We start from the raw sequence: 12986 nt of genomic DNA, 5'->3' as shown, positions 1-12986 counted from the left end.
CCTGTAATCCCAGCACTTTGGGAGGCTGAGGCGGGCACATCACCTGAGGTCAGGAGTTCGAGACCAGCTTGGCCAACATGGTGAAACCCCGACTCTACTAAAAATACAGGAATTAGCTGAGCGTGGTGGCAGGCACCTGTAATCCCAGCTACTCGGGAGGCTGAGGCAGGAGAATTGCTTGAATTTAGGAGGTGGAGGTTGCAGTGAGCCAAGATTGAGCCACTGTACTCCAGCCTTGGCGACAGAACAAGACTCCATCTCAGAACACAACAACAACAAACCAGTAATTCTCCCTTCCATCAACTAATTCTTTTATCGTTAGGCTATGCATTGAGTTGATCCTAGGCCCCTGGCCTCCTTTCTTTCCACAAGAGCTAAGTTAAGATGGGCAAGGTTATTGTATCTTTAGGGTTAGTGATTGCTTGGTGGAATTCACCCCCGTCACCCTGACCCAGGGTGTCCTTACATGTTTGAGCATGCATCTCTGTTGCTGTTGTCATTGTAGTGGAAGGAGAGGTTGGACTTGGAGCCAGTCTTCTCCAGGCCACCCATCAATAGAAGCATGCTTCCTACCTTTTTATGGATGGGGAGTCAGAAGTTTTCTCTCTCTTAGGTTCCTTTATGATTCTTTTGTAGACCTTGTATACTCTTGGTGATGCTCATCTGGATCTAGTGCTCATTTGTTTAATTCAACAGTGCTGTATAGGCAGTATGCTAGGAGATGGGAAGGCTAGAGAGCAGTGTCTCAAGTTTTTACGTTGTTATTTTTAAATTATGTTTCTTTTTTTATATATATATTTTTATTATACTTTAAGTTCTAGGGTACATGTGCACAACGTGCAGGTTTGTTACATATGTATACATGTGCCATGTTGGTGTGCTGCACCCATTAACTCGTCATTTGCATTAGGTATATCTCCTAATGCTGTCCCTCTCCCCTCTCCCCACCCCACAACAGTCCCCGGTGTGTGATGTTCCCCTTCCTGTGTCCGAGTGTTCTCATTGTTCAGTTCCCACCTATGAGTGAGAACAGGTGTTTGGTTTTTTGTCCTCGCAATAGTTTGCTGAGAATGATGGTTTCCAGCTTCATCCATGTCCCTTTTTATTTTTATTTTTTTCGAGACGGAGTCTTCCTCTGTCACCCAGGCTGGATTGCAGTGGTGCAATCTTGGCTCACTGCAACCTCCGCCTCCTGGGTTCAAGCAATTCTCCTGCCTCAGCCTCCCGAGTAGATGGGATTACAGGCGCCCGCCACTGCACCTGGCTAATTTTTGTATTTTTAGTAGAGATGGGATTTCGCCATGTTGGCCAGGCTGTTCTCAAACTCCTGACCTCGTGATCTGCCCGCCTCAGCCTCCCAAAGTGCTGGGATTACAGGCATGAGCTACTGCGCCTGGCCTAAAGCATGTTTCTTATGTAATCTAATTTAGCACAATAATCTTTTGTTTCTGATTATTTTTGCTGGCATTTTATTAGTGCTTATAACAACCCAGGTGCCTTTCCAGAGGTCTAAGTTGCTTGACTGGGATGACTTACTCATTCCTTTGTTTGTTCCTCCCCTCTTCTCTTGGTAGGTCGAGCTGATCCAGAGTGTATGCTGGGCCACTTGCTGAGAATACTCTTCAAGAATGATGATTTCATGAATGCAGTAGGTTTGCTTCTTACTTTTCTCCAGCGATTATCATCTGTAGATGCTGTATCTTTATTGTTTTTTCGTGAATAGTTTGCCTTCTCCTAAGGCCTTGACAAAGTTGGGAGTAGAGTTTTTTGCCAAAGTCCTGGTTGTGGCCATAATGCTTTCTCTTTGGTATGTACTTTGATATTGGTGAGGCCTCCCAAGGTATCTACGCTCATTCTTGGGCAAAATGATTTTGAATTTGAGAATATAGGGGCCCTCTTCAGTTTTTCAATGGAAAAATAAGAGTGATGCATACAGCATGATTCTGCACTGACACTGTGGGGTATGCATTGGGCATGTAGAGGGATAGAAAGTTGCTTTCTGTCTATCTTGAGGAGGATGTGAGGAGTAAATAAGAATATACATATTTTACTCAGCTCCTGAACATAGTAATTGCTCAACAAATTGTGGCTGATAGGTTTGTTTTTGGAGGTGGGATGGCATGATGCTTGAGAACGTGGGCTTTGGGGGTCCATGTTTTGGATTTAAATCCAGCTCCATAGTTCACTGACAGACTTAAGCCTCTTCAAGCTTTATTTTCTCACTGCCTTCTTTTTCTTTTCTTCCTTTTGAGACAGGGTCTGGCTCTGTTACTTAGGCTGGAATGCAGTGGCACAATCTTGGCTTACTGCAACCTCTGCTTTCCGGGGTCAGGTGATTCTCCTGCCTCAGGCTCCCAAGTAGCTGGGACCACAGGTGCCTGCCAACCACACCTGCCTTATTTTTTTGTATGTTTAGTAGAGATGGGCTTTCACCATGTTGGCCAGGCTAGTCTCAAATTCCTGACCTCAAGTTATCCACCCACCTTGGCCTCCCAAAGTGCTGGGATTACAGACGTGAACCACTGCACCCAGCCGCAGCCTTATTTTTCTAGTCTATAAAATGGAGTTAATAGCATTTAAAACCTTTTTTGTACTCCTTGAATGAAATTAAGCATGAAGGTGCTTGGCAGAGAGCCTGGCACACGATGAAGGCCCAGTAGGTATTAGCTAGTATTATCATTTATTTATTTGCTTATTTATTTTTTGAGACAGAATTTCGCTTTTGTTGCCCAGGCTGGAGTGCAGTGGTGTGATCTCGGCTCACTGCAACCTCTGCCTCCTGGGTTCAAGTGATTCTCCTGACTCAGCCTCCCAAGTAGCTGGGACTACAAGGGATGCACCACCACGCCAGGCTAATTTTTGTATTTTTAGTAGAGACGGGGTTTCTCCATGTTGGTCAGGCTGGTCTCAAACTCCTGACTTCAGGTGATCCACCTGCCTCGGCCTCCCAAAGTACTGGGTTTACGGGCATGAGCCACTGCACCCAGCCAGTATTAGCTATTATTATCTGTATTATGTTGACTTCTAGATTTATTTCTATATCACCATTGTCTCTTTCTTAGTTTCAGATCACTTCTAGACATTTCCTTCTGGGTGTCTCCCATATACACCTCGAATTTTACGTGTCTGACCATTTGCTCCATAATCTGTTTCTTTTGTTCTCTAGCTCAGTAACGATGTCCTTGTCTAGTCAGCTATAAAGTGTCCTTTACGCCTCCAAGCTCTCTTATACAGTGAACTTACAGATGTTATTACTCCCTTCACCTTAAACTTCACAAATCCCTCCAGTTCTGTTCTTGTCACCAGACCCCAGTTTAGCTAGACCACCGTTTAGCCAACAATTTTTCACTTGGTTACTGAAATAACATCTTCACTGGTTTCTTCTTGTCTTGTCCTCCTCTAATTCATTCTTCACTTTATAGCCCAGAAATTATGGTACCCTCTTGCTTAAAATCCATTAATGGCTTTCTATTACCTTCAGGACAAATTTTAAGTTTCTTAGTTTGGTGTAAAAACCAAATCTGTCTCTGAACTTTGTTCTCTGCAGTTTCAGTTCTTGCCTTCTGGCCCTCCTCTCCTCCAACGTTTCCTTAGATACTTCCTTCTCGTCTTTTACATCCCGGCTTGGAATCACTTCTTCTCTTAAGCCTTCTCTGATTCTTCTTCAGGGGTCTTGTGCCCTCCTAGGGGCTTCGGTAATCCTTTACTCATGGTATTACTTGTTTTCCCAACTGTCACCTCTATTGAATTACACATCTTTTTTTTTTTTTTTAAGACAGCATCTCACGCTGAGTGCATTAGTACGATCACTCACTGCAGCCTTGACCTCCCATGTTTAAGGATTCTCCTGCCTCAGCCTCCTGAGTAGCTGAGACCACAGGCATGTGCCACCATGCCTGGCAAATTTTTTGATTTTTTTGTAGAGACAAGATTTCACTGGGTTGCCCAGGCTGGTCTTGAACTCCTGGGCTCAAGCCATCCTCAGATTTTGGCCACCCAATGTGCTGGGATTACAGGGATGAGCCACCACACTCAGCCTGGATAATGAATCTTGGGATGGTGGGACTGTGTCAATAATTATTTACTGTTATATGCCCAGCACAGAACATAGTATCGCTTAATATTAGAGATTCAGTAAATACTAAGTGCCAAATGGAGACTTTTATTAATACATATTATTGTATTATATATATAATTTATTATAAAATTTGAGTTTTTCATTAACCATTGTCAAGAATATGGAGCTCATATTGCCCTGCTTATGCTTTTAAAAAAGTGTATATGCAGTGGTGTGGGGGCCAGATGTGATGGCTCATGCCTGTAATCCCAGTACTTTGGGAGGCTGAGGTGGGAGGATCACCTGAGGCCAGGAGTTAGAGGCTAGCTCGGGCAACATAATGAGGCCCCGTCTCTACTAAAAATGAAAAAATTAGATGGACATGGTGGTGTGCACCTGTGGTCCCAGCTACTTGGGAGGCTGAAGCTGGAGGATCACTTGAGACTGGGAGGTCGAGACTGCAGTGAGCCATGCTTGTGCCACTGCACTCCAGCCTAAGTGACAGAGTGAGACCCTGTCTGTAAAAAAAATCATTAAAGTGTATATGGAAGGGGATAGGTTTATTTGTGGCATTTTTTTTGTTTTTGTTCTGTTGTTGTTGTTGTTGTTTTTTTGGAGACAGGGTCTCACCGTTGCCCAGGCCTGAGTGCAGTGGTGATTAGGGCTCACTTCACCCTTGACATCCTGGGCTCTGGGCATCCTCCCACCTCAGCCTCCCATGTAGCTGGGACTACAGGCATGTGCCACCATGCTTGGCTAATTTTTGTATTTTTGGTAGAGATGGGGTTTTGCCGTGTTGTCCAGGCTGGTTTCAAACTCCTCAGCTCAAGTGATCCTCCTGCCTTGGCTTCCCAAAGTGCTGGGATTACAAGTGTGCATCACTGGCATCAGCGTTTGACCTTTAATTTCTATGATTGCTGAGTTGTTTTGGGGGGATTTGGCTTTAAAGCTGCAGAAGAAATTATGTGTGGTATCACCATGGCTCAGCAAGATCATAAGTGTTTATAATAATTAAAGGTTTAATTAGTAAAAGTTTAATTAGTTACATACAGTCTTCTTTCATACCCGTTAAGAAAGTAATGGGAATATGTTGAGGTTTTATTAGATGTCCTTAATTTGACTGGGTTGAATTTTAGATGAACAGTATTTCTTTTTTTTCTTTACAGCTGGTGAATGCATATGTGATGACAAGCCGAGAGCCCCCTTTAAACACTGCAGCTTGCAGACTCCTATTAGACATCATGCCAGGGCTGGAAACTGCTGTCGTCTTTCAAGAAAAGGTACTTAGTGAAAAGTAAAGTCATAATTTTATTTTGTAATTGAATTATGATGTATTTGATTTGTCTTTGTGGTTAAAATCATTGTTACAGTTTTTGTTATTCATATAGTAATATATGTTATAAAAATCTAAGAAATCCTGACAGGCAATAATAAAATTATTTATTTTTTATTATCATTTTTTAAATTGAGATGGGGTCTTGCTGTATTGCCCAGTGAGCAACTGGGCTCAAGTGATCCTCCTACTTTAGCATTTCAGATTGCTGGGATTATAGTCGTGAGCCTCTGCGCCCAGCCAAAAATTTAAAAATAGTTATTTTGACAAATACTTGTTGTTTGGGTGCTATAGTTTTTTTTTTTTTTTTTTTTTGAGATGGTGTCTTGCTTTGTCACCCATGCTGGAGTGCAGTGGCACAATTTCAGCTCACTACAACCTCTGCCTCCCGGGCTTAAGTGATTCTCCTGCCTCAGCCTCCCAAGTAGCTGGGATTACAGGCGCCCACCACCATGTCCACTTAATTTTTGTAATTTTAGTAGAGATGGGATTTCACCATGTTGGTCAGGTTGGCCTCGAACTCCTGACCTCAGGTGATCCACCTGCCTCGGCCTCCCAAAGTGCTGGCATTACAGGCGTGAGCCATCGCACCTGGCCAGTATTTTTAATTTTATTTTATTTACTTTTGTTTTTTCATTTTTTGAGACTGAGTCTTGCTCTGTCGCCCAGGCTGGAATGCAGTGGTGCAGTCTCAGCTCACTGCAACTTCCTCCTGGGTTCAAGCAATTCTTGTGCCTCAGCCTCCTGGGTACCTGGGATTACAGGTGTACGCTACCATGCCTGGCTAATTTTTGTATTTTTAGTAGAGACAGCGTTTCACCATGTTGGCCAGGCTGGTCTCAAACTCCTGACCCAAGTGTTCCACCCTCCTTGGCCTCCCAGAGTGCTGGGATTACAGGCATGAACTGCCACACCTGGCCAGTGTAGAATTTTTTTAAATCTTGAGATTATATGTTGTGTGGTTTTTTTTCTTTTCTTTTTTTTTTAATTTTATTATTATTATACTTTAAGTTTTAGGGTACATGTGCACAACGTGCAGTTTTGTTACATATGTATACATGTGCCATGTTGGTGTGCTGCACCCATTAACTCGACATTTAGCATTAGGTATATCTCCTAATGCTATCCCTTCCCGCTTCCCCCACCCCACAACAGTCCCCAGTGTGTGATGTTCCCCTTCCTGTGTCCATGTGTTCTCATTGTTCAATTCCCACCTATGAGTGAGAACATGCGGTGTTTGGTTTTTTGTCCTTGCGATAGTTTGCTGAGAATGATGGTTGGCAGTTTCATCCATGTCCCTACAAAGGACATGAACTCATCATTTTTTATGGCTGCATAGTATTCCATGGTATATATGTGCCATATTTTCTTAATCCAGTCTATCGTTGTTGGACATTTAGGTTGGTTCCAAGTCTTTGCTATTGTGAATAGTGCCGCAATAAACATACGTGTGAATGTGTCTTTATAGCAGCATGATTTATAATCCTTTGGGTATATACCCAGTAATGGGATGGCTGGGTCAAATGGTATTTCTAGTTCTAGATCCCTGAGGAATCGCCACACTGACTTCCACAATGGTTGAACTAGTTTACAGTCCCACCAACAGTGTAAAAGTGTTCCTATTTCTCCGCATCCTCTCCAGCACCTGTTGCTTCCTGACTTTTTAATGATTGCCATTCTAACTGGTGTGACATGGTATCTCATTGTGGTTTTGATTTGCATTTCTCTGATGGCCAGTGATGGTGAGCATTTTTTCATGTGTTTTTTGGCTGCATAAATGTCTTCTTTTGAGAAGTGTCTGTTCATATCCTTCGCCCACTTTTTGATGGGGTTGTTTGTTTTTTTCTTATAAATTTGTTTGAGTTCATTGTAGATTCTGGATATTAGCCCTTTGTCAGATGAGTAGGTTGCAAAAATTTTCTCCCATTCTGTAGGTTGCCTGTTCACTCTGATGGTAGTTTCTTTTGCTGTGCAGAAGCTCTTTAGTTTAATTAGATCCCATTTGTCAATTTTGGCTTTTGTTGCTATTGCTTTTGGTGTTTTAGACATGAAGTCCTTGCCCATGCCTGTGTCCTGAATGGTATTGCCTAGGTTTTCTTCTAGGGTTTTTATGGTTTTAGGTCTAACATTTAAGTCTTTAATCCATCTTGAATTAATTTTTGTATAAGGTGTAAGGAAGGGATCCAGTTTCAGCTTTCTACATATGGCTAGCCAGTTTTCCCAGCACCATTTATTAAATAGGGAATCCTTTCCCCATTTCTTGTTTTTGTCAGGTTTGTCAAAGATCAGATAGTTGTAGATATGCGGCATTATTTCTGAGGGCTCTATTCTGTTCCATTGGTCTATATATCTGTTTTGGTACCAGTACCATGCTGTTTTGGTTACTGTAGCCTTGTAGTATAGTTTGAAGTCAGGTAGCGTGATGCCTCCAGCTTTGTTCTTTTGGCTTAGGATTGACTTGGTGATGTGGGCTCTTTTTTGGTTCCATATGAACTTTAAAGTAGTTTTTTCCAATTCTGTGAAGAAAGTCATTGGTAGCTTGATGGGGATGGCATTGAATCTATAAATTACCTTGGGCAGTATGGCCATTTTCACGATACTGATTCTTCCTACCCATGAACATGGAACGTTCTTCCATTTGTTTGTATCCTCTTTTATTTCATTGAGCAGTGGTTTGTAGTTCTCCTTGAAGAGGTCCTTCACATCCCTTGTAAGTTGGATTCCTAGGTATTTTATTCTCTTTGAAGCAGTTGTGAATGGGAGTTCACTCATGATTTGGCTCTCTTGTTTGTCTGTGTTATTGGTGTATAAGAATGCTTGTGATTTTTGTACATTGATTTTGTATCCTGAGACTTTGCTGAAGTTGCTTATCAGCTTGAGGAGATTTTGGGCTGAGACGATGGGGTTTTCTAGATATACAATCATGTCATCTGCCAACAGGGACAATTTGACTTCCTCTTTTCCTAATTGAATACCCTTTATTTCCTTCTCCTGCCTGATTGCCCTGGCCAGAACTCCCAACGCTATGTTGAATAGGAGTGGTGAGAGAGGGCATCCCTGTCTTGTGCCCGTTTTCAAAGGGAATGCTTCCAGTTTTTGCCCATTCAGTATGATATTGGCTGTGGGTTTGTCATGGATAGCTCTTATTATTTTGAGATAGGTCCCATCAATACCTAATTTATTGAGAGTTTTTAGCATGAAGGTTGTTGAATTTTGTCAAAGGCCGTTTCTGCATCTATTGAGATAATCATGTGGTTTTTGTCTTTGGTTCTGTTTATATGCTGGATTACATTTATTGATTTGCATATGTTGAACCAGCCTTGCATCCCAGGGATGAAGCCCACTTGATCATGGTAGATAAGCTTTTTGATGTGCTGCTGGATTTGGTTTGCCAGTATTTTATTGAGGATTTTTGCATCGATGTTCATCAAGGATATTGGTCTAAAATTCTCTTTTTTGGTTGTGTCTTTGCCAGGCTTTGGTATCAGGATGATGCTGGCCTCATAAAATGAGTTAGGGAGGATTCCCTCTTTTTCTGTTGATTGGAATAATTTCAGAAGGAATGGTACCAGCTCCTCTTTGTACCTCTGGTAGAATTCGGCTGTGAATCCATCTGGTCCTGGACTTTTTTTGGTTGGTAAGCTATTGATTATTGCCTCAATTTCAGAGCCTGTTATTGGTCTGTTCAGAGATTCAACTTCTTCCTGGTTTAGTCTTGGGAGGATGTATGTGTCGAGGAATTTATCCATTTCTTCTTGATTTTCTAGTTTATTTGTGTAGAGGTGTTTATAGTATTCTCTGATGGTAGTTCGTATTTCCGTGGGATCGGTTGTGATATCCCCTTTATCATTTTTTATTGTGTCTATTTGATCCTTCTGTCTTTTCTTATTATTCTTGCTAGCGGTCTATCAATTTTGTTGATCTTTTCAAAAAACCAGCTCCTGGATTCATTAATTTTTTGAAGGGTTTTTTGTGTCTCTATTTCCTTCAGTTCTGCTCTGATCTTATTTCTTGCCTTCTGCTAGCTTTTGAATGTGTTTGCTCTTGCTTTTCTAGCTCTTTTAATTGTGATGTTAGGGTGTCAGTTTTAGATCTTTCCTGCTTTCTCTTGTGGGCATTTAGTGCTATAAATTTCCCTCTACACACTGCTTTGAATGTGTCCCAGAGATTCTGGTATGTTTTGTCTTTGTTCTCATTGGTTTCAAAGAACATCTTTATTTCTGCCTTCATTTCATTATGTACCTAGTAGTCATTCAGGAGCAGGTTGTTCAGTTTTCATGTAGTTGAGCAGTTTTGAGTGAGTTTCTTAATCCTGAGTTCTAGTTTGATTGCACTGTGGTCTGAGAGACAGTTTGTTATAATTTCTGTTCGTTTACATTTGCTGAGGAGTGCTTTACTTCCAACTATGTGGTCAGTTTTGGAGTAGGTGTGGTGTGGCGCTGAAAAGAATGTGTATTCTGTTGATTTGGGGTAGAGAGTTCTGTAGATGTCTGTTAGGTCCGCTTGATGCAGAGCTGAGTTCAATTCCTGGGTATCCTTGTTAACTTTCTGTCTCGTTGATCTGTCTGATGTTGACAGTGGGGTGTTAAAGTCTCCCATTATTATTGTGTGGGAGTCTAAGTCTCTTTGTAGGTCACTAAGGACTTGCTTTATGAATCTGGGTGCTCCTGTATTGGGTGCATATATATTTAGGATAGTTAGCTCTTCTTGTTGAATTGATCCCTTTACCATTATGTAATGGCCTTTTTTGTCTCTTTTGATCTTTGTTGGTTTAAAGTCTGTTTTATCAGAGACTAGGATTGCAGCCCCTGCCTTTTTTTGTTTTCCATTTGCTTGGTAGATCTTCCTCCATCCCTTTCTTTTGAGCCTATGTGTGTGTCTGCATGTGAGATGGGTTTCCTGAATACAGCACACTGATGGGTCTTGACTCTTTATCCAATTTGCCAGTCTGTGTCTTTTAATTGGAGCATTTAGCCCATTTACATTTAAAGTTAACATTGTTATGTGTGAATTTGATCCTGTCATTATGATGTTAGCTGGTTATTTTGCTCGATAGTTGATGCAGTTTCTTCCTAGCGTTAATGGTCTTTACAATTTGGCATGTTTTTGCAGTGGCTGGTACCGGTTGTTTCTTTCCATGTTTAGTGCTTCCTTCAGGAGCTCTTGTAAGGCAGGCCTGGTGGTGACAAAATCTCTCAGCATTTGCTTGTCTGTGAAGTATTTTATTTCTCCTTCACTTATGAAGCGTAGTTTGGCTGGATATGAGATTCTGGGTTGAAAATTCTTTTCTTTAAGAGTGTTGAATATTGGTTCCCACTCTCTTCTGGCTTGTAGAGTTTCTGCAGAGAGATCAGCTGTTAGTCTGATGGGCTTCCCTTTGTGGGTAACCCGACCTTTCTCTCTGGCTGCCCTTAACATTTTTTCCTTCATTTCAACTTTGGTGAATCTGACAATTATGTGTCTTGGAGTTGCTCTTCTTGAGGAGTATCTTTGTGGTGTTCTGTGTATTTCCTTAATTTGAATGTTGGCCTGCCTTGCTAGATTGGGGAAGTTCTCCTGGATAATATCCTGCAGAGTGTTTTCCAACTTGGTTCCATTCTCCCTGTCACTTTCAGGTACACCAATCAGACGTAGATTTGGTGTTTTCACATAGTCCCATATTTCTTGGAGGCTTTGTTCGTTTCTTTTTATTCTTTTTTCTGTAAACTTCTCTTCTCGCTTCATTTCATTAATTTCGTCTTCCATCACTGATACCCTTTTTCCAGTTGATCACATCGGCTACTGAGGCTTCTGCATTCGTCACGTAGCTTTCTGTGCCTTGGTTTTCAGCTCCATCAGGTCCTTTAAGGACTTCTCTGCATTGGTTATTCTAGTTATCCATTTGTCTAATTTTTTTTCAAAGCTTTTAACTTCTTTGCCATTGGTTCGAATTTCCTCCTGTAGCTCGGAGTAGTTTGATCATCTGAAGCCTTCTTCTCTCAACTCATCAAAGTCATTCTCCGTCCAGCTTTGTTCCATTGCTGGTGAGGAACTGTGTTCCTTCGGAGGAGGAGAGGCGCTCTGATTTTTAGAGTTTCCAGTTTTTCTGCTCTGTTTTTTTCCCATCTTTGTGGTTGTAGCTACCTTTCGTTTTTGACGATGGTGACGTACAGATGGGTTTTTGGTGTGGATGTCCTTTCTGTTTGTTAGTTTTCCTTCTAACAGACAGGTCCCTCAGCTGCAGGTCTTGTGGAGTTTGCTAGAGGTCCACTTCAGACCCTGTTTGCCTGGGTATCAGCAGCGGTGGCTGCAGAATAGCGGATATTGGTGAACCACAGATGCTGCTGCCTGATCGTTCCTCTGGAAGTTTTGTCTCAGAGGAGTACCCAGCCGTGTGAGGTGTCAGTCCGCCCCTACTGGGGGGTGCCTCCCAGTTAGGCTACTTGGGGGTCAGGGACCCACTTGAGGAGGCAGTCCGCCTGTTCTCAGATCTCAAGCTGCATGCTGGGAGAACCACTACTCTCTTCAAAGCTGTCAGAGAGGGACATTTAAGTCTGCAGAGGTTACTGCTGTCTTTTTGTTTGTCTGTGCCCTGCCCCCAGAGGTGGAGCCTACAGAGGCAGGCAGGCCTCCTTGAGCTGTGGTGGGTTCCACCCAGTTTGAGCTTCCGGGCTGCTTTGTTTACCTAATCAAACAACTAACTCAGCAATGGCGGGCGCCCCTCCCCCAGTCTCACTGCTTCCTTGCAGTTTGATCTGGGACTGCTGTGCTAGCAATGAGGGAGACTCTGTGGGCGTAGGACCCTCCGAGCCAGGTGCGGGATGTAATCTCCTGGTGTGCCGTTTTTTAAGCCTGTTGGAAAAGCGCAGTATTAGGGTCGGAGTGATCCGATTTTCCAGGTGCTGTCTGTCACCGATTTCTTTGACTAGGAAAGGGAATTCCCTGACCCCTTATGCTTCCTGGGTGAGGCGATGCCTTGCCCTGCTTCTGCTAGCACACGGTGCACTGCACCCACTGTCCTGCACCTACTGTCTGGCACTCCCCAGTGAGATGAACCCGGTAGCTCAGTTGGAAATGCAGAAATCACCCGTCTTCTGTGTTGCTCGCACTGGGAGCTGTAGACGGGAGCTGTTCCTATTCGGCCATCTTGGCTCCTCCCCCGGATCTTTTTTTTTTCTTTTTTTGAGACAGAGTCTTGCTCTTGTCACCCAGGCTGGAGTGCAGTGGTGTGATCTTGGCTCACTGCAACTTCCGCCTCCCAGGTTCCAGTGATTCTTTTGCCTCAGCCTCCCAAGTAGCTGGGACTACAGGCTCGTGCCACCATGCCTGGCAAATTTTTGTATTTTTAGTAGAGATGGGGTTTCACCATATTGGTCAGGCTGGTCTTGAACTCCTGACCTCGTGATCTGCCTGCCTCAGCCTCCCAAAGTGCTGGGATTACAGGTGTGAGCCACCGCGCCCAGCCTTTTTTTTGAGATGGGGTCTTACTCTGTTGCCCAGGCTAGAGTGAAGTGGTGAGATCACCATGGCTCACTGCAGCCTTGACCTCCTGGGCTTAAGCTGTTCTCCCACCTCAGCCTCCTGAGTAGCTGGAAGTATAGGCATGTGTCACCATGC

General features: G+C 43.0%; 1 protein-coding gene across 42 annotated transcripts in view; it reads left to right on the top strand.

Moving 5' to 3' along the window:
- The window catches only part of DCAF1 (DDB1 and CUL4 associated factor 1), a 109773-nt gene that overhangs the window by 37189 nt on the left and 59598 nt on the right, over positions 1–12986 (top strand). For 38 of the 42 annotated variants that reach the window (XR_007095776.1, NR_146065.2, XR_007095774.1 and 35 more), the window contains 2 exons: positions 1575–1648; positions 5224–5337. Coding sequence is in view for 32 of the 42 variants with exons in the window: in XM_047449275.1 (XP_047305231.1) it covers positions 1575–1648; positions 5224–5337 (188 nt within the window). In the remaining 10 variants the exon portion in view is untranslated. The remainder of the gene's footprint in view (positions 1–1574; positions 1649–5223; positions 5338–12986) is intronic. The other 4 variants (NM_001171904.2, NM_001387582.1, NM_001349171.2 and 1 more) reach the window with 2 other exon arrangements.

The sequence above is a fragment of the Homo sapiens genome, chromosome 3 (genome assembly GCF_000001405.40).
Source record: "Homo sapiens chromosome 3, GRCh38.p14 Primary Assembly".
NCBI lineage: Eukaryota > Metazoa > Chordata > Mammalia > Primates > Hominidae > Homo > Homo sapiens.
Note: the sequence above shows the minus strand (reverse complement) of the source record. Positions and strands in the feature narration are given on the sequence as shown.